At 47.8% G+C, this 19616-nt stretch overlaps 6 annotated features.

Moving 5' to 3' along the window:
- Nucleotides 2575-3229: an enhancer, noted in NCBI's record as "H3K27ac-H3K4me1 hESC enhancer chr5:76110384-76111038 (GRCh37/hg19 assembly coordinates)". NCBI's record gives its function as "activates a minimal SCP1, AML or CMV promoter by ChIP-STARR-seq in primed H9 embryonic stem cells {active_cell/tissue: H9 hESC(primed)}" and the evidence as "EXISTENCE:reporter gene assay evidence [ECO:0000049][PMID:30033119]".
- Nucleotides 9337-9920: an enhancer, noted in NCBI's record as "OCT4-NANOG-H3K27ac-H3K4me1 hESC enhancer chr5:76103693-76104276 (GRCh37/hg19 assembly coordinates)". NCBI's record gives its function as "activates a minimal SCP1, AML or CMV promoter by ChIP-STARR-seq in naive and primed H9 embryonic stem cells {active_cell/tissue: H9 hESC(naive and primed)}" and the evidence as "EXISTENCE:reporter gene assay evidence [ECO:0000049][PMID:30033119]".
- Nucleotides 11085-11666: an enhancer, noted in NCBI's record as "H3K27ac-H3K4me1 hESC enhancer chr5:76101947-76102528 (GRCh37/hg19 assembly coordinates)". NCBI's record gives its function as "activates a minimal SCP1, AML or CMV promoter by ChIP-STARR-seq in naive H9 embryonic stem cells {active_cell/tissue: H9 hESC(naive)}" and the evidence as "EXISTENCE:reporter gene assay evidence [ECO:0000049][PMID:30033119]".
- Nucleotides 11667-12250: an enhancer, noted in NCBI's record as "H3K27ac-H3K4me1 hESC enhancer chr5:76101363-76101946 (GRCh37/hg19 assembly coordinates)". NCBI's record gives its function as "activates a minimal SCP1, AML or CMV promoter by ChIP-STARR-seq in naive H9 embryonic stem cells {active_cell/tissue: H9 hESC(naive)}" and the evidence as "EXISTENCE:reporter gene assay evidence [ECO:0000049][PMID:30033119]".
- Nucleotides 12854-14053: an enhancer, noted in NCBI's record as "P300/CBP strongly-dependent group 1 enhancer chr5:76099560-76100759 (GRCh37/hg19 assembly coordinates)". NCBI's record gives its function as "activates an origin of replication core promoter dependent on BRD2, BRD4, P300/CBP, MED14 and CDK7 cofactors, with strong dependence on P300/CBP, by STARR-seq in HCT116 cells {active_cell/tissue: HCT116}" and the evidence as "EXISTENCE:reporter gene assay evidence [ECO:0000049][PMID:35650434]".
- Nucleotides 18435-18935: an enhancer, noted in NCBI's record as "H3K4me1 hESC enhancer chr5:76094678-76095178 (GRCh37/hg19 assembly coordinates)". NCBI's record gives its function as "activates a minimal SCP1, AML or CMV promoter by ChIP-STARR-seq in primed H9 embryonic stem cells {active_cell/tissue: H9 hESC(primed)}" and the evidence as "EXISTENCE:reporter gene assay evidence [ECO:0000049][PMID:30033119]".

Here is a 19616-nt window from a genome sequence, read left to right as displayed (position 1 = left end):
GAGCACAGAAGAGAGACATAGGTATTTTCAAATATTTAAAGGATTCGCTTGTAGAAGAGGATTTAGATGTGTTTTGAGTTGCTCCAGAGAGCAAAAATTGGTGGAAGCCACAGTGGGGTTTAATTTCAGCTCAATGTATAAAGAAATTTTCTTTATTTTTTATTTTAATTTCTATTAGAAAATAGAAGTGGGGTCTCCCTATCTTGTCCAGTCTGGTCTGGAACTCCTGGCTTCATGTGATCCTCCCCACTCAGCCTCCCAAAGTGCTGGGATTACAGGAATGAGCCACCACACCCGGACAGGCTTCTCCCCTTGTTGACATCTGTGTGATCCCAAGTTTACTTATCCTCTCTAAGCTTTCTTATAATATATATATATATACACACACACGTGGTTTAAAGGTTTATAGGTGTCTGTCTGAGGATAAAATAGTGACTAGTGACTGGGTTTGATACATGGTAGAAGCTCAATAAATATTTTTTGTTTATTTCCTTTCTCTGAGGAGTCTTCATACTCCACCTGCACCCCAGCTCTCACCTCAGCCCATGCCCACTTTTCCTCCCAGGAAAAGCTGACTTCTAGAAGCAGAACAGGAACCTTTGACATCCTGAACAGCGGACAGCTCTCCTGATAGGGATCAGGCCATTCCTGAAGGTCCCTCCCCAGGGGAGATAACTGATTCCTAAGATGTCCCTTCAAACTTTTCAAGCATCCATTTCCTCATCTGTAGCTTATTAATATTACATCTATCATCTGGGAATGATACTAGTACCTCTCTCGTAGGGTGGTTGTGAGGATTCACTTTGCTAAATGTCCATAAAGCACTTCTTAGTACCGTTTCTGGTATATAGTAAGCACCTAAGAAATGGGAACTGCTATAGAATGACTGCCTTTAAGGTGGAATCTTCCTCTTTCAGAGAACAATACATCAGGGTCCAGCTGCTTTCGATTTAAATTTTCACTGTATTTTATGGGAATATGCCTTGAATCATCACAATTTCCAATAAAAGACTTTATTGAACAATGCTATGAGTTAATTATCTCAAAAATGTGGTTTCTTCCCCCAGCCTGACTAAATGAACTAAACTCACTTGAGTCAGTTTGCAGGTGTTTTTCTGTAATTTTGGGAGTATAGTATTTGTTTTTCAGGTGTTGATGACTCCTTCGCCCTGAAGGGATTGGAGTATTGTATGGCTGTGTGGAACAGTACAAAGAAATGACCACAGGCAACTAGACTGCCTGGCTTCCAGAGATTAGGAACCTTCTGCAATCTTCCACCACCTACAATTCCAAAGAGGAGTTTAGACATTGAGGGAAAAGGTATTTCATTCAAATAATTTGTCAAACTCTTCCTGGAGAAACAAAGTCCCAAGTTACTGGGTCCTAATCAAATATAGTTGGAGAAAGTTACACTCATTTATTCACTGATTCATTGAGCACTCACTCTGGACAAGGTTAGTAATGAAATCCACATGGTAAGTCCTATGGTCCTCTTTCAGTCCTTTCTCAGTTACTCAGCCTAGCTGTAGAATTGGACACGATTGATTTCTCCCTCTTTCTGGAATGCTCTATTCACTTGGCTTCCAGGCCCACTCTTCTCTTGATTCTCCATCTGTCGCATTAGCAACTCAGAAGTGGGTTCTTTGCTAGTTCCCACCTACCCTCCTGACCACTATATTCTGGAGTGAGTGCCCCTAGCTTAGTCTTTGGACTTCTTTTCTTTTTTTTTTTTTTGAGACAGGATTTTACTCTGCTGCCCAGGCTGGAGTGCAGTGGCACGATCATGGCTCACTGCAGCCTCAACCTCCCAGGCTTAAGCAATCCTCTCACCTCAGGCCCTGAGTAGCTGGGACTACAGGCACACACCACCAGGCCTGGCTAATACTTTTTTATTTCTTGTAGAGACAGGTTCTCACTATGTTGCCCAGGCTGGTCTTGAACACCTGGGCTCAAGCAATCCTCCCACCTTGGATTCCCAAACTGTTGGGATTACAGGCATGAGCCACTGCGCCCAGCAGACTTCTTTTCTTCTCAAAGTATACACTCATTCCTTTGGTGACCTCATTCACTCCCATGGTTTTAAATACGATCTATATGTTGACAGCTCCCAAATTTCTATTTCTACTCCTGATTTCCCCAATCCAGACATATAGCATATTCATCTAGCTATTCAAAATCCCCCCTTGGATGTTTCTACAGGCATATCAAGCATAAGTCCAAAACTAACTTCCTGATTCATTACACCTCCACTGCCCTTTTCACAGTCTTCCCCCTCTCCTTAAATTACAACTCCATCCTTCCAATTGCTCAAATCAAGTCTTGGAGTCAGGCTAGGTGCAGTGGCTCATGCTTATAATCCCAGAAATTTGGGAGGCCAAGGCAGAAGGATTGGTTGAGCCTAGGAGTTTGAGATCAGCCTGGGCAATATATTGAGACCCTATTTCTACAAAAAAATTGCCCAGGGGTGGTTGTATGCACCTATAGTCCCAGCTATGCAGGTGGCTGGGCAGAGGGATCACTTAAGCCCAGGAGCTCCAGGCTGCAGTGAGCTGTGATTGTGCCACTGCACTCTAGCCTGAGCAACCAAGTGAGACCCTGTCTCTAAAAAATTAAAATTATTTGGCCAGGCACACTGGCTCACACCTGTAATCCCAGCACTTTGGGAAGCCAAGGCAGGCAGATCACTTGAGGTCAGGAGTTCGAGACCAGCCTGGCCAACATGGTGAAACCCCATCTCTACTAAAAATTAGCCAGACGTGGTGGCACAGGCTTATAATCCCAGCTACTCCGGAGGCTGAGGCAGGACAATCGCTTGAGTCCTGGAGGCGGAGGTTGCAGTGACCAGAGATTGTGCCACTGCACTCCAGCCTGGGCAACAGAGCAAGACTCTGTCTCAAAAAAAAAAAAAATTATAAAATGAAAATTAGGCTGGGTACAGTGGCTCATGCCTGTAATCCTAGCACTTTGGGAGGCCGAGGCAGGCAGATCACCTGAGATCAGGAGTTTGAGACCAGCCTGGCCAACATGGCCAAACCCTGTCTCTACTAAAAATACAAAAGAATTTAGCCATGTGTGGTGTCGGGCACCTGGAATCCCAGCTACTCGGGAGGCTGTTCAATCACTTGAACCTGGGAGGCGGAGGTTGTGGTGAGCCGAGATGGCACCATTGCACTCCAGCCTGGGCAACAAGAGCAACACTCCATTTTTTGCTCCAAGAACAAAAAAAGGAAAAGAAAACAAAAATACTAAAGTGCTTTCCACTTCCCTCTGAGTGAAAACCAAAATCTATCAAAGGTTTACACATCCTGTCCCCTCTTCCCCATCCACACACACACACCACCTCCTTGATGTTATCGCCTGTGATTCATATCATCATCCTGCTCCAGCCATGTATGCCCCCGTCATTCCTTTGCACTCAGTATCCTTTGCCTGGAGTGATTTTCCATCAAGCAGCTCTTGACTCATCTCTTTAAAGTGTTAGTTTACTTAGAATTATAAATCACTGGAGCTGCAGGGGTCCTTATAAGCCAGAGTAGGCCCTTACTCAGCCAGCATCTCTTAGCTTGTTGGCAGTGAGGCTAAGGTGTCTGGATGGTAGGCAAGGAGTGAATTGGTCATAGTGGTCGCTCATCTACACAAAGGCCTTCTAGACCCAAAGAAATAATCGCTCATGATAATCATTTCAGGCATTAGTGGTCAACTATTATCTAGTGTTATGGTTTTTGGGGTTTTCTACTTTGTAGATTTTTTTTTTCATTTGATCAAAAAATGGGAATTTTATTTATTTATTATTTTTATTTTTTGAGACAGAGTCTCGCTCTGTCACCCGGGCTGGAGTGCAGTGGCACAATCTCGGCTCACTGCAACCTCCACCTCCCGGTTCAAGCTATTCTATTGCCTCAGCTGTCTGCCTGAATAGCTGGGACTACAGGCGTGTGCCACCACGCCCTGCTAATTTTTGTATTTTTGGAAGAGACGGCGTTTCACCATGTTGGCCAGTCTGGTCTCGAACTCCTGACCTCATGATCTGCCTACCTCAGCCTCCCAAAGTACTAGGATTACAGGCGTGAGCCACCACGCCCAGGTGAGAAATATTTTTTTTAATTATTATTATTTTTTTTTATTGATCATTCTTGGGTGTTTCTCACAGAGGGGGATTTGGCAGGGTCATAGGACAATAGTGGAGGGAAGGTCAGCAGATAAACAAGTGAACAAAGGTCTCTGGATTTCCTAGGCAGAGGACCCTGCGGCCTTCCTCAGTGTTTGTGTCCCCGGGTACTTGAGATTAGGGAGTGGTGATGACTCTTAACGAGCATGCTGCCTTCAAGCATCTGTTTAACAAAGCACATCTTGCACCACCCTTAATCCATTTAACCCTGAGTGGACACAGCACCTGTTTCAGAGAGCACAGGGTTGGAGGTAAGGTCACAGATCAACAGGATCCCAAGGCAGAAGAATTTTTCTTAGTACAGAACAAAATGAAAAGTCTCCCATGTCTACTTCTTTCCACACAGACACGGCAACCATCCGATTTCTCAATCTTTTCCCCACATTTCCCCCCTTTCTATTCCACAAAACCGCCATTGTCATCATGGCCGGTTCTCAATGAGCTGTTGGGTACACCTCCCAGACGGGGTGGTGGCCGGGCAGAGGGGCTCCTCACTTCCCAGTAGGGGCGGCCGGGCAGAGGCGCCCCTCACCTCCCGGACGAGGCAGCTGGCCGGGCGGGGGGCTGACCCCCCCCACCTCCCTCCCGGACGGGGCGGCTGGCCGGGCAGAGGGGCTCCTCACTTCCCAGTAGGGGCGGCCCGGCAGAGGCGCCCCTCACCCCCCGGGACGAGGGGGCTGGCTGGGCAGGGGGCTGACCCCCCTAACTCCCTCCCGGACGTGGCGGCTGGCCAGGCGGGGGGCTGACCCCCCCACCTCCCTCCCGGACGGGGCGGCTGGCCGGGCAGAGGGGCTCCTCACTTCCCAGTAGGGGTGGCCGGGCAGAGGCGCCCCTCACCTCCCGGACGAGGCGGCTGGCCGGGCGGGGGGCTGACCCCCCCACCTCCCTCCCGGACGGGGCGGCTGGCCGGTCTGACCCCCCCACCTCCCTCCCGGACGGAGCGGCTGGCCGGGTAGAGGGGTTCCTCACTTCCCAGTAGGGGCGGCTGAGCAGAGGCGCCCCTCACCTCCCAGACGGGGCGGCTAGCCGGGCGGGGGGCTGGCCCCCCCACCTTCCTCCCGGACGGGGCGGCTGGCCGGGCAGGGGGCTGATCCCCCCCCACCTCCCTCCCGGACGGGGCGGCTGGCCTGGTGGGGGCTGACCCCCACCTCCCTCCCGGACGGGGTGGCTGCCTGGCGGAGACGCTCCTCACGTCCCAGACGGGGTGACTGCCGGGTGGAAGGGCTCCTCACTTCTGAGACGGGGCGGTTGCCGGGCGGAGGGTCTCCTCCCTTCTCAGACGGGGCGGCTGGGCAGAGACGCTCCTCACCTCCCAGACGGGGTCGCGGCCTGGCAGAGGCGCTCCTCACATCCCAGACAGGGCGGTGGGGCAAAGGCGCTCCCCACATCTCAGAAGAAGGGCGGCCAGGCAGAGATGCTCCTCACTTCCTAGATGGGATGGCGGCCGGGAAGAGGCGCTCCTCACTTCCTAGATGGGATGGCGACCGGGCAGAGACGCTCCTCACTTTCCAGACTGGGCAGCCACGCAGAGGGGCTCCTCACGTCCCAGACGATAGGCGGCCAGGCAGAGACGCTCCTCACTTCCCAGACGGGGTGGCGGCCGGGCAGAGGCTGCACTCTCGGCACTTTGGGAGGCCAAGGCAGGTGGCTGGGAGGTGGAGGTTGTAGCGAGCCGAGATCACGCCACTGCATTCCAGCCTGGGCACCATTGAGCACTGATTGAACCAGACACCGTCTGCAATCCCGGCACCTCCGGAGGCCGAGGCTGGCGGATCACTCGCGGTTAGGAGCTGGAGACTAGCCCGGCCAACACAGCGAAACCCCATCTCCACCAAAAAAATACGAAAACCAGTCAGGCGTGGCGGCGCGTGCCTGCAATGGCAGGCACTCTGCAGGCTGAGGCAGGAGAATCAGGCGGGGAGGTTGCAGTGAGCCGAGATGGCAGCAGTACAGTCCAGCTTCGGCTGGGCATCAGAGGGAGACCCTGGAAAGAGAGGGAGAGGGAGACCGTGGGGAGAGGGAGAGGGGGAGGGGGAGGGGGAGAGGGAGAGGCGAGAAATATTTTTAAGGAAAAGAGTTATGAAGACTTTCAAACTGGGGCTGGAATTGTGGCTGGGTGATGTGTCACTGGGACATGTGTAGACAGAGAGTTAGTCATGACATCATGGGAAATGCAGCCACAATAGCAATCTCACCTTCTGAAAAATGATACTGCTCTAGGGTGCAGAACTGGCACCTCGCCCCTCATGAAGAGTCAGGCGACAGCATATGTGCTAGCGATTACTTAATGAAATAAGTACATGATGGGCTGAGGTGTGGAGAGTAGTCATTATGCCACATGCTAATTAAAGAGATGGGAAAGGTTGATCTGCAGGGGCTGAGATGCCCACATAAGTAGCTGTAGTGGTAGGATTGCACCCTCCTACTCTCCCCATTTTCCCCTTTCTATTTCTTCCACCTACAACTGAGACAGCCAGGTGGAAGAAACTCCAACCAGCCTGCCCAATGAGATGAAGCTTCGAGAAGTTTGCAGCAGGGAGGAGCATGGCCCTTCCTCTTCCTGTGTGGAAACTGGGATTCAAAGGGCTAGGCGGGAAGCTCTGTAGCAGGGACTCTGGCCTTGCGAGAATCCCTGTTTCCCCCTTTTCTTCCTTTTCACCCAATAAAACCCCATCTTACTGACTATTCAAATTGTCTGCGAGCCCGGATTTTCATGGCCATGGAACAAAGAACCTGTCTTTAGCTGAACTAAAGATAAGTCCTGCAACACAACTTCTACCTGATTGATTCCTTTTCTTGTCATAGAAAGGTCATCCTTCCAACCACCAACCTCAGTGACATGCAGGTAGAGTTAAGAATAAATGGGCCGGGCGTGGTGGCTCACGCCTGTAATCCTAGCACTTTGGGAGGCCGAGGCTGGCGTATCACCAGGTTAGGAGTTCAAGGCCAGCCTGACCAACACGATGAAACCTTGTCTCTACTAAAAATACAAAACTTAGCCGGAGTGGCGGCACGCGCCTGTAATCCCAGCTACTCAAGAGGCTGAGGTGGGAAGATCACTTGAGCCCAGGAGCTCAAGGCTGTAGTGAGCTGTGATCACACCACTTTACTCCAGCCTGGGCAACAGAGCGAGACTTTATCCCAACATAAACAAATAATAAAAAATCAGATTGATATTTGCATTCCTTTTTTGTGACTTGGTTTTCCCCACTCAACAACAAAGTGAACATTTCCCCAAATGCTTATTCTTCCATAGCACCATTTTCAATTGCAGCAGAATATTTCATCTTCTCAATAGATTTTAATTTACTCTTGTAAAATATCCAGATTATTTCATGTTTTTATTGTTTTGGTAACACAGAGATAAACATATTGTGACGCATACATTTGTTTCTGCAGTCTCGGACTACTGTACGGTTTGATAATAATCACTGAGAGCTTTTAAAATAAACATAATTTTTTATTAAGCAAATCCACCTATCCCTTGAAATATTTCTTCCTAGTCTGATTAAGTTATTGCTAAATTAAATGAAGAAGAAATAGTCTGAGACTTAGTATCTATTACAGAATTAAAAATATAATGAAAATTAAAAAAAGAAAATGTGCATAAAAGTTCTTTGGAAACCATAAAAGCATGACACAAATGCAGGTGATTATTATTATTGCTGTTACTAACCACAGTGAAGAGCATATTATAATAGCCAATCTTAAATATACCATATTGTTTTTTTTATTTTTTATTTTTTTTGAGACAGGGTCTTGCTCTGTTGCTCAGGCTGGAGTACAGTGGTGTGATCTCAGCTCACTGCAACCTCCACCTCCCAGGTTCAAGCAATTCTTGTGCCTCAGCCTCCCAACTAGCTGGGACCACAGGGGCTTTGTATTTTTAGTAGAGACAGAGTTTCACCATGTTGGCCAGGCTGGTCTTGAACTCCTGACCTCAAGTGATCCACCCGCCCTCCCAAAGTGCTGGGATTACAGGCGTGAGCCACTGCGCCCGGCCAACCATATAGTATTTAAACAAGTCATCTTGTTTAAAGGTCTTCCCTCTGCAACCTGGCAGGACCCTGTTAGGCCATCATCCTCATAAAACATCAGGGTGAGAGAGACAAAGATCAGAGCCACTTCCTAAAAGCCCAGGATCTTAGAGTTTAACACAATGACTCCAGGTACGTGAGACAGATGCACCTACGAAAACCAGGCATGGATGTCAAAGGAGGAATTGAGACCAGTGCATGCTCTCAATCCTGCGTGTGAAAGCTACATGTAGTTAGCATCAAGGACAAGCCTCAGCAAGATTTAGGCAGGGAGGGAAACTAGGGTGAGAACCTGTGACCCAGCAGGGCCAGATCTGTGGATTCCACCAACTGGTTCTGCATCTTGGTTCTCTCACGGATGCTGTTTTCCTTCAGACTTCAGAGTTGCCTCATCCCTCCACCAATTAGAAATGTCTCCTGCCTCTAGAAGGTAGTTGTTGTGATTAGGAGGAAGGGCTTGGGCAGCGTCCGACTGGATTGAATGCTGGCTCTTGTCACTTATGATCCTGATTAAGTTACTTCATTTCTTTGGGTGCCTGTTTTTTCTTTTTTTTTTGTTTTTTGTTTTTGAGACAGAGTCTCACTCTGTCACCCACGCTGGAGTGCAATGGCGTGATCTCGGCTCACTGCAACCTCTGCCTCCTGGGTTCAAGCGATTCTCCTGCCTCAGCCTCCTTAGTAGCCAGGATTACAGGCATGCACCACGACGCCCGGATAATTTTTTTTTCTTTTTTTTAGTAGAGATGGGGTTTCACCATATTGCCCAGGCTGGTCTCGAACTCCTGAGCTCAGGCAATCCACCTGCCTCGGCCTCCCAAAGCGCTAGGATTACAGCCATGAACCACCGCGCCTGGCCCTGTTTTCTCTTATAAAATGGGGATATGTTACCTGCCTTCTAAGAACATTGTGAATATTCAAAAGGCTAACGGGCTATGGGCTCTGCCACTGGGACCCCCTCAAGAGTGCTTAGTACTGATGGGGCTGGTCAGACGCTGTTGTTTGCCTGGAATCCCTGGGGCACCTGAAGGAAAGACAAAGGCCTGTGAGAAGGGGTGGTAAGGAGAGGAAGCAGAGGCAGAGGGGCTTGTAGAACTCAGAGTGTCGGGATATGATAAGAAAGATAACTGAGGGCCACACAGGCCGAGAGAGATGAGTTAAAACAGGTGGGTTCCTGGCAATTTAAGGACAGCTGGTGGGAATGTGGAAGAAGGAGGGTCTGTGAAATCTCTGGGAAGAAGGGTAGGGCAGTAATTCCCAGCTGCTTGGGCCCACAGAAACCAGTTTGGTCCTGCTGTTCAGCTTTTGTAACTGTTCATTAGCATATGAAGGAACTGCCTGCAGAACGCACCCTGGGTCTTTGGAGCTTTGCTGTGTATGCTGGGCCAGGGGTGGGGGCAGGGAGTGAAATGGCTCCAACATCTGCCTGATTTCCTGAATCCAGATCCACCACCAATTCTGGACTCAATAAGAAGGGACTGAATCTCTGTTCCTTTCCCAGCTAAAGCCAAAATTTGTTCTATTTACAATACTTCTCAAGTCCTCAGCTGCTTCTATAATTGGTCTAATACAGAGAGCATAATAATTTTGGAAGGAAAAAATTTTAACAGGTATGGGGAACACAATGAATGGACTAACAACTCTCACTTAATCTTCACTATATCTTATGAAATATAGACAATTCATATCTTCTTGTTAGAAATAACATGATTCAGAAGGGGCTTCAGGAAGCAGATGCCAAACTCTTGACCTTAAGTGGAAGCATTTCTTGCATGTAACGCTAAATGGTTGTGTTATCAGAGCTTCCCTGAATTTTCAGCATACGAAGAAAAATATTAGGTGCTTATTTCTTTGGGGGGAGAATTCAGGCCAATTTTTGACTTTAGAGCCTAATGATGGCAGTCATTCAAGTTTTGGTTCTTGAAAAATTGCAGCCAGGCACTACCTCGTCTGAGAGGTAGAAAGAGGTCGTGGAAGAGTCTGGAGTTGAAAGTGCATACAGTCTCTGTTGTGTTCTGCCAGCTCTAATGCCCAGTCACTTACAACCACATTTCAGCCCAGCTATTCTGAAAGGAAACTCACTTTAGAAATGCAAATGACTCACCAAAGAGTGAGGAATTTTAGTGTCTGACAAGTGAAGTGTGTAGCTTTGAAGACTGGGAGACCTCTGTGTTCTCCCAGGAATACCTCCCAGGGTTGTTGTTGAAGCCAAAGGAGATCAGAACTCTAAATGGGCTTGGTAACGTGGAAGGTACTAAAGGAACTTTTATTTTTATTGCAAAAGTGTTGAGTTTTGAATAGCTCGGGGCCCACTGAACTTAGCCTGTGGAAAAGACAGGTTGTGTAAAGACTCTATTTCATTGGCCAGGATACACAACCTTGGTCTAGAGCTACTCCTATTCTTTTTTTTTTTAATTGTTATTTTTTATTTTTAATAGAGTATAGTGGCATGTTATAGTCCACTGCAGCCTCAAAATCCTGGACTCAAGTGAATCCCCCACCTCAACCTTGAGGTATGCACCACAACACCCAGCTAATGCTTCTATTCTTTTCTTTTCCTTTTTTTTTTTTTTTTTTTTTTTTTTTTTTTTTTTTTTTTTGAGACAGAGCCTTGCTCTATCGCCCAGGCTGAAGTGCAGTGGTGCGATCTCGGCTCACTGCAAGCTCCGCCTCCCGGGTTCACGCCATTCTCCTGCCTCAGCCTCCAGAGTAGCTGGGACTACAGGCGCCCGCCACCACGCCCGGCTAATTTTTTTGTATTTTTAGTAGAGACGGGGTTTCGCCGTGTTAGCCAGGATGATCTCGATCTCCCGACCTCGTGATCCGCCCGCCTCGGCCTCCCAAAGTGCTGGGATTACAGGCTTGAGCCACCGCACCCGGCCTGCTTCTATTCTTAACATCTGATTTTCAGTCTCTACCCCCCATCACTCCCCACCTCTCTGCCCATATTGAGCAGCTCCTTTCTTGGGAGTGGTCCTGTGCTGGATTGAGTTTAGCCAAGGAGACTGCTGCTGCACAGCTCAAAGAAAACCGACCTGCTCACTCCAACAGGAAAGTCCTGGGGGTCAAAGTAAAAGCATCAAAGACTAAGTTAGCGGTGGATGAGCCAAAAGAGGAGGGAGCTATGAAGAGGAGGATGGGAAGAGAAACCAAGATGCAAGATACTACAGAAGTGCGATGCAAATTGCTTATTACTCAGTGCCCAGCAGGCTCCCTAAACAGTCTTCAAAGCTACAGCTGGCTTGTCAGATGCTAAAATCCCTTCTTCCTTGGTGAGTCATATGAGACAAAGTAGCAAATGTTAAGAAGTCATGTTTGCTCATTTCTGCTTGCTTAATTTCTCGAAGCTCCTGACTCTGTGTCTACACACAGCTCTCTGGAAAGATGCTTAGAAGACAAAACAGGACATCTCTTGCCTGAGTCACTATATTCCTTAAAAGATAAATGACCGCAGTGTTTGTCTTTGCCTACACATAAGATAACCTCTGACAAGGTCAGTGATGATGCCTCTGTAATCTATAACCAGTTGTGCTCTTACACCGAAACGTCAATGTGATTCTGCTTGAATGCAACTTCTGAGCAAGTCTCATGTGACTTTGAACATATTGAACCCCCACCGCCTGTATATGGGCCATGGGCTGAGATACTGTGCCCCAGCAGTCTCATAGAACTGCTCCTGGGCTACAGGCCTTGGTCTATAGCCCTCAGTAAGACTTCTGAATAAAACTAACTTTAAATCTTTAAAAGCTTTTGTTGTTTTTTTTTTCCATTGACAGTCATTTCCATCCTCAAAGGGAGTTTTATATCAGAATAACTGAGTTGGACAGAATAACAAAGGCAACTTAGCCACACTGGCTAAGAGCTGGGACTCCTGGGCAAAACTGCTTGGGTTGGAATCTCAACTCCATTGTTTATGAGCTGTGTGACCTTGGGCAAATTTGCCTCTCTGTGCCTCAGTTTTTTTTATCTGTAAATCAGGGTTGATATTAATCATACCTAGTTCTTAGGTTTTTTTTTTTTTTTCTTTATTTTGAGACAGAGTCTTGCTCTGTCACCCAGGCTGGAGTGCAATGGCATAATCTTGGTTAACTGCAACCTCCACCTCCCAGGCTCAAGCGATTCTCCTGCCTCAGCCTCCCAAGTAACTGGGATTACAGGCACATGCCACCGCGCCCAGCTAATTTTTGTATTTTTAGTAGAGATGGGGTTTCACCATGTTGCCCAGGCTGGTCTTGAACTCCTGACCTCAGGTAATCCACCCGCCTCAGCCTCCCAAAGTGCTGGGATTACAGGAGTGAGCCACTGCATCTAGCAGTTCTTAGATTATTATACTAATAACAGGAGTTAATATTTGTAGGGTGCCTAAAACAGGGTCTGGCACACAGTTTCATTAAAGTAGGTTTTTAAAACCTATTATTGTGGCCAGGTGTGGTGGCTCACGCCTGTAATCCCAGCCCTTTGGGAGGCCGAGGTGGGCAGATTAGCTGAGGTCTGGAGTTCGAGACCAGCCTGACCAACATGGAGAAACCCCATCTCTACTAAGAATACAAAATTAGCCGGTCGTGGTGGCACATGCCTGTAGTCCCAGCTACTTGGGAGGCTGAGGCAGGAGGATCGCTTGAACCCGGGAGGCGGAGGTTGCAGTGAGCCAAGATCGGGCCATTGCACTCCAGATTGGGCAATAAGAGTGACAATCCGTCTCAAAAAAAAAAAAAAAGAAACCTTTTACTGTTATTATTTCATTAATGCATCTCCATGACTAGATAAAAGCTCTGAGAGCAGAGGCTCGGTCTGGGTTTGCTTATAATTGCGTATCCAGTGCTTAGCACAGCGTGTGGTAAGTACCCAACTATTTGTCTTATGAACAAATGGACAAAGGGAACCTCCCGAACCATTCCCAGATTCAGACCACAGAAAAGGGTCTGAGCTCCATCCTCACGCCTCCAGGAAGTAAAAAGTCATTCCCACGCATCCAAGAAGTAAAAAGTCACACCTACTAACAGTCGACAATGCTGGAGAAGTAACCCCACCAGCAATGCCGTGACACTGCTCCCATTCTCAGACCCTTGGACTTCTCCTTGTCGTCACCACACAGGATGTGTTCACCACACAGGGGCCCAGCTCTTATTGACTTGGCCGAAGGCTTGGCCTCTGAGTCAGGAGTTTCTGTCCAGTTTCAGGTGTGGGCCAAGTATCGCCTTGTCCTTGGTCTCCCACACTCTTGTGAGAGTGGGCAGAGGGTGTCCCACACTCTTGGGAGAGCTGGTGGGCAGAGGGCCGGCCTCCCCTCTCTGGCCTCCCCAGACACCTGGGAGCTGTCTGCAGAGGCTTGGGGTGAATGTATGTGTAATAAAGAGAGAGCCCTAGCCCAAAGTTTGTTACTATTATAAAGATGTTGGCTTCTCTTCCCAACTGTCAAAGTGAACAGCATCTGCAGGACCCCACTTTGCCCGCTGCAACAGAGGGCTCTAGTTGGAGCCAAAGTAACAACATTCCACGGTTCACTATATCCAAGTTACCTTTGACAAAAAGCCTTCTGCATTGTATGTAGCACCTGGAAGAAATAAATACCAACACTTAGACATTCCATTGATTTTTTTGTTTTGTTTTGTTTTGTTTTGTTTTTTGTTTTTGAGACGGAGTCTCACTCTGCCGCCCAGGCTGGAATGCAGTGGTGCGATCTCGGCTCACTGCAAGCTCCGCCTCCCAGGTTCACACCATTCTCCTGCCTCAGTCTCCCAAGTAGCTGGGACTACAGGCGCCCGCCACCACGCCTGGCTAATTTTTTGTATTTTTAGTAGAGACGGGGTTTCACCATGTTAGCCAGGATGGTCTCGATCTCCTGACTTCGTGATTCACCCACCTCTGCCTCCCAAAGTGCTCAGATTACAGGTGTGAGCCACCACACCCAGCCTGACATTCCATTGATTTTAAGATTTATTCCAGTTTCACCATGTTGACGTTAAAATATGAAAAAGATGCATCTTAAAGTTGATGCAAACAGCAGCATGACAACATACAGACAAAGCAGGAAGGAATGGGAAGCGGTCAGAAGAGAATGTCCACATGTTCCCCCAACAGAGGTGTCCACGATGTACCCTGCCCTCCCTGTTTTGACAATGAGTGAACTGCCAGTGCACCCATCTAAGCCCGCCTCATGCTACATGTGCACCCACTTCCACCCACTCTCAATGACTTCAGGACATCACTCTAGCAAGCCTCACTCCTCTCCTCTGCAGGGTCAATTTCTTCCCCTACTGGTTTTCCATTGTCTATTGCCTAAAACTATGAAATAATGACTTCCTTCTTGATCCCTCTCCCATCCCATTTCTTTTTTCTTTTTTTTTTTTTTAAGACAGGGTCTCACTCTGTCACCCAGGGTGGAGTGCAGTGGCATGATCACGATTCATTGCAGTCTTGATTTCTTGGACTCAAGGAATACTCCTACTTCAGCCTCTGGAGTAGCTGGGACTACAGACATGTGCCACCATGCCCACCTAATTTTTATTTTATTTTTTATTAATTAAAAAAATTTTTTTTAAATAGAGACAGGGTCTCACTATGTTACCCAGGCTGGTCTCAAACTCCTAGGCTCAAGCTATCCTCCTGCCTTGGCCCCCCAAAGTGCTGAGATTACAGGTGTGAGCCACTGCATCCAGTCTAATTTTTAATCTTTCGTAGAGATTGGGGGTCTCACTATGTTGCCCAGGCTCGTCTCAAACTCCTGGACTGAAGCAATCCTCCTGCCTTAGCCTTCTAAAGTGCTGAGATTACAGGTATGACCCACCACACCCAGCCCCAATTCAATTTTTTTTTGTTGAGACGGAGTCTTGCTCTGTTGCCCAGGCTGGAGGGCAATGGCGTGATCTCAGCTCACAGCAACCTCAACCTCCTGGTTCAAGTGATTCTCCTGCCTCAGCCTCCCGAGTAGCTGGGATTACAGGGACCCACCACCATGCCCGGCTAATTTTTGTATTTTTAGTAGAGATGGGGTTTCGCCATGTTTGCCAGGCTGGTCTTGAACTCCTGACCTCATGATCTGCCTGCCTGGACCTCCCAAAGTGCCGGGATTACAGGCGTGAGCCACTGCGCTCAGCCACAAGTTCTCAATATATGGAAGCATCTCACAAGTTCTCAATATATGGAAGCTATTGTTTTATTCTCTTCAGGTCTCTTCAGGTAAAACTTTGATTACATTTGTCACTCATTTCTGGCTAATTTTTTTTTTGTATTTTTAGGAGAGACGAAGTTTCACTATGTTGGCCAGGCTGCTGGTCTTGAACTCCTGACCTCGTGATCTGCCCACCTCAGCCTCCCAAAGTGTTGGGATTACAAAGGCGTGAGCCACCACGCCCGGCCTTTCTTGACTGCACTTTATACAAAACTCCTTAAATGAGATGTCTGCTCTTGCTATCTCCTCATCCCCTCCCATTTTTTTCCCATCAAATGCTGATAGGGACACCAGGCGTCCATCCCCACTACTCTATCTATCATGCCAAATGCAACAGTTAACCTTCAGTGTCTGTCTTGCTCCCCTCTCGGCAGCGGTTGGCTTCTAGAATACTGCTGTCTCTGGACTCTCCTCCTCCCTCCTTGGCTGCTCCTTGTCAATCTATTTTGCAGCCTCCTCCTCCACACACTGGAGAGCCCTGAGGGTCAGATATCTTTTCTACCTGTGACCACTCTCTAGGTGATCTCATCCAGTCCTGTAACTTTAATTACTATCTTTACTATCTTTACTTTGATAACTACTGTCCCCAGTACAATTAGGATATTGTATATCCTAATAGTCATCTCAAACTAATGTGTCCAAAGCCAAGCTTTTGAATTCCATCCTCAAAGAGGTTCTTCTCAAGAAGTCTTCCCGGTCTTAATAACTGGCAGCCATCCCAGCTTGTCTGGCCAAAAGGCTTGGAAGGCATGTCATCCTGACTACTCACTTTCTCTCCCATCCAACCCATCAGCAAATCCTTTTGGCTCTACCTTCAAAATATTTCCGGAACAAGATAAACTTTTGCAATTTCCTCTTGCTCCCACCCTCACCCAAAACACCAGCCTCCCTTTCCCAGTTCTCAATAGCCTCTCAGCTGGTTTCCTTTTGCCCAACCCTGTCTCCTGCATTCCAGCCCTCACAGAGAAGCCTGAGTTATCCTTAAGAAGGTAAACCAGACCTTGGCCCATTTCTGTGCAAACTCTCCAAGGCTCACGTCTAACTCAGAGCAAAAGCCAAAGGTCCCCTGCAGGATTAACTTCCGGCCCTCTGTGCTCCTCTCCTCCCACTCTTCCCTTCCATGCTCTCTCCAGCCACACAGGCCTACTTGTAACTTCTAAAATACATCAAGCACTTTAATTTCTTCTTCTACAAGCCATCTGCTAACTTCTCACCCCTTCAGGTCTTGGCTCCACTGTCACTCCATCAGAGTGGTCTTTTCATTTATTTATTTTTTTTTTATTTTTAAATTTTTGTACAGACAGGGTCTTACTATGTTGCCCAAGCTGGTTTTGAACTCCTGGACTCAAGTGATCCTTTTACCTTGGCCTCCCAAAATGCTGGGATTACAGGTACCACCCATACAGAATATCCCCTCCCCAGCCTCATTCTCTCTCCTTACCCTGCTTTCTTTCCTTTACTTATGTTGTATGTCACTCCCTCACATGCTGTGTATCTATTGGGGTTTTTTGGCTGCCTGTGGCCCCACTTGAATGTAAACTCCATGAAGTCAGGGGTTCTGTTCACAGCTGTATCCTCAGCTCCTTGGCCCCTGCCTGGTCCATGGTAGACACTCCATGAAGATTTACTGGATTACTTCTGATATTAAAAATACTTTATGCAGGAATGTTAGGGGTGTGACCATTTTTCCTGCTCCTTTCAATAACTAGGTCACTAGGAGTTAAAAAGAAAGGCAAAGGCAGCTGGGTGTGATGGCTCACGCCCGTAATCCCAGAACTTTGGGAGGCCAAGGCGGGCAGATCACCTGAGGTCAGGAGTTTGAGACCAGCCTGGCTAACAGGGTGAAACCCCGTTTCTACTAAAAATCCAAAAAATTAGCCGGGGGTGGTGGTGTGTGCCTCTAATCCCAGCTACTCGGGAGGCTGAGGCAGGAGAATCGCTTGAACCCAGGAAGTGGAGGTTGCAGTGAGCCGAGATCGCACCATTGCACTCCAGCTTGGGCAACAAGAGTGAAATTCCGTCTCAAAAAAAAAAAAAAAAGAAAGAAAGGCAAATGCATAAGTGTTTCCTAGAAGTTGTTGCCTGAAACACGGAAAACAGCTGCCTTTTTAATCTTACCAGAGGATCATGTCTAAAGGCATCTATTTGGGGACTGAGTGTGCATGTACAAGGAGTCCAGCGGCGCTTTACCTGGGTCTGCAATGCCCTAGCTGGTCTCTTCTGCCCATGGTCTTCTCATGCTCCCCCACCTACACCAACACTCTCACACTGACCTCCTTGTCCTCTGTGTCTCACTGCTTCTAGGGTCCTGATTGTCAATGGCCAACTTCTCTCTCCCTTCCCCCATCAGCTTTTTCTCTCTTCATCCTCAGCTCTTTCTCTAGACCCTTTAAAAGTCATTTATAAGCCTGCATGGCACATGTCTTTGTTTCCATCTGTGCCTGTCTGCCCCTCCTCACCAAACCTCTTAAGACCATGAAGCATTTGAAGTCAGGGGTTGTGTCTTATTCATCTTTATATCCTTAACCCGTAACACAGTACCTGGCACATTGTAGATGCTCAAAACCTGTTTGCTGAACAACTGAATGAATTCTCTATTGTTGACAAGCTGACTCTCCAGGACAGGCTGAGCTCATTCTTGGCAAAGATGTGCTGCAACATGCCCTCCAACCAGCATGCCCTGCCCCTCATTTCTACACACACAAGACCACCTTCAATAGTTAACTCTTAATTAAACAAGATATTTGGGCTCACTAAGCATTTATTGTCTATTTATAATGTTCTGGTACTGTACCCAGCAGTTGATAAAGATAAGTTGGTGCCTGATTTATTGGTCCAAGGTCCATCAGCTACCATTTCTTCATTAGGCCTCTCTCTTTTTTTTTTTTTTTTTTTTGAGACGGAGTCTGGCTCTGTCGCCCAGGCTGGAGTGCAGTGCAGTGGCGCGATCCCAGCTCACTGCAAGCTCCGCCTCCTGGGTTCACACCATTCTCCTGCCTCAGCCTCCAGAGTAGCTGGGACTACAGGAGTCCTCCACCATGCCCAGCTAATTTTTTGTATTTTTAGTGGAGACGGGGTTTCACCGTGTTAGCCAGGATGTTCTCGATCTCCTGACCTTGTGATCCGCCTGCCTCGGCCTCCCAAAGTGCTGGGATTACAGGCGTGAGCCACCGCGCCCAGCCGCCTAGGCCTCTCTTTATAACTCCAAACAATGCACACCTTCCCCCCATCAGAGGGTGCACAGCACGGAGGACTGGTTTCAGAGAGAGGAAGTAAAGCTCTGTGTGGGGTTAGGACAGTGGTATGTAAGGGCTGGGGTCAGACTGCCTGGTTCAAACCCAGTTTTCCTAATAACTTCCTTCATAAGGTTGTTGGGAAGATTAAATGAGATAATGTGTCCAAAGGACATAGATTATGACAGTGCCTGTAATCCCAGGACTTTGGGAGGATGAGGTAGGAAGATCGCTTGAGGCCAGGTAGGTGGGGGAGCATGAGAAGACAGTACCAACCTGGCCAACATAAGGAGACCCTATCTCTTTAAGTTAAAATTTTTTTTAATGAAAAAAACTTTTAAAAAGAACAACAACAAAAAAAGAAGGACATAAATTATGATCAACAAATGCTAGCTGTTATTATCGTCACAGATTAGGCCTTTGATCCTTTGATATGAGATTCTACTTTATGAAGTATTGTGGTGTATTTTCTTATTAGGTCATATATATAAATGATCTTTTTTTGTTGTTTTTTTAAAGAGACAGGGTTTCACTCTGTTGCTCAGGCTGGAGTGTAGTGGTGTGATTATAGCCCACTGCAACCTCGAACTCCTGGGCTCAAGCGATCCTCCCGCCTCAACCTCCTGAGTAGTTGGGACCAAGTCACATGCCACCACACCCGGCTGATTTTTTAAAAAAATTTTTGTAGAGACAGGGCCTTGCTATGTTGCTCTTGCTGGTCTCAAACTCCTGGACTCACCAAATCCTCCCGCCTCAGCCTCCCAAAGCTCTGGGATTACAAGCTTCAGCTGCTCCACCTGGCCATAAATTGTCTCTTAAATGACAGTTCAATTAACTAGAAGGCATGGATCATGAGCAAATAGTAGGCTTAGAATGAACAGGGAGGAATTGGGCTGGGCGCGGTGGCTCACGCCTGTAATCCCAGCACTTTGGGAGGCCGAGGCGGGCGGATCACGAGGTCAGGAGATCAAGAACATCCTGGCTAACACAGTGAAACCCCGTCTCTACTA

Source organism: Homo sapiens, chromosome 5 (genome assembly GCF_000001405.40).
Source record: "Homo sapiens chromosome 5, GRCh38.p14 Primary Assembly".
NCBI lineage: Eukaryota > Metazoa > Chordata > Mammalia > Primates > Hominidae > Homo > Homo sapiens.
Note: the sequence above shows the minus strand (reverse complement) of the source record. Positions and strands in the feature narration are given on the sequence as shown.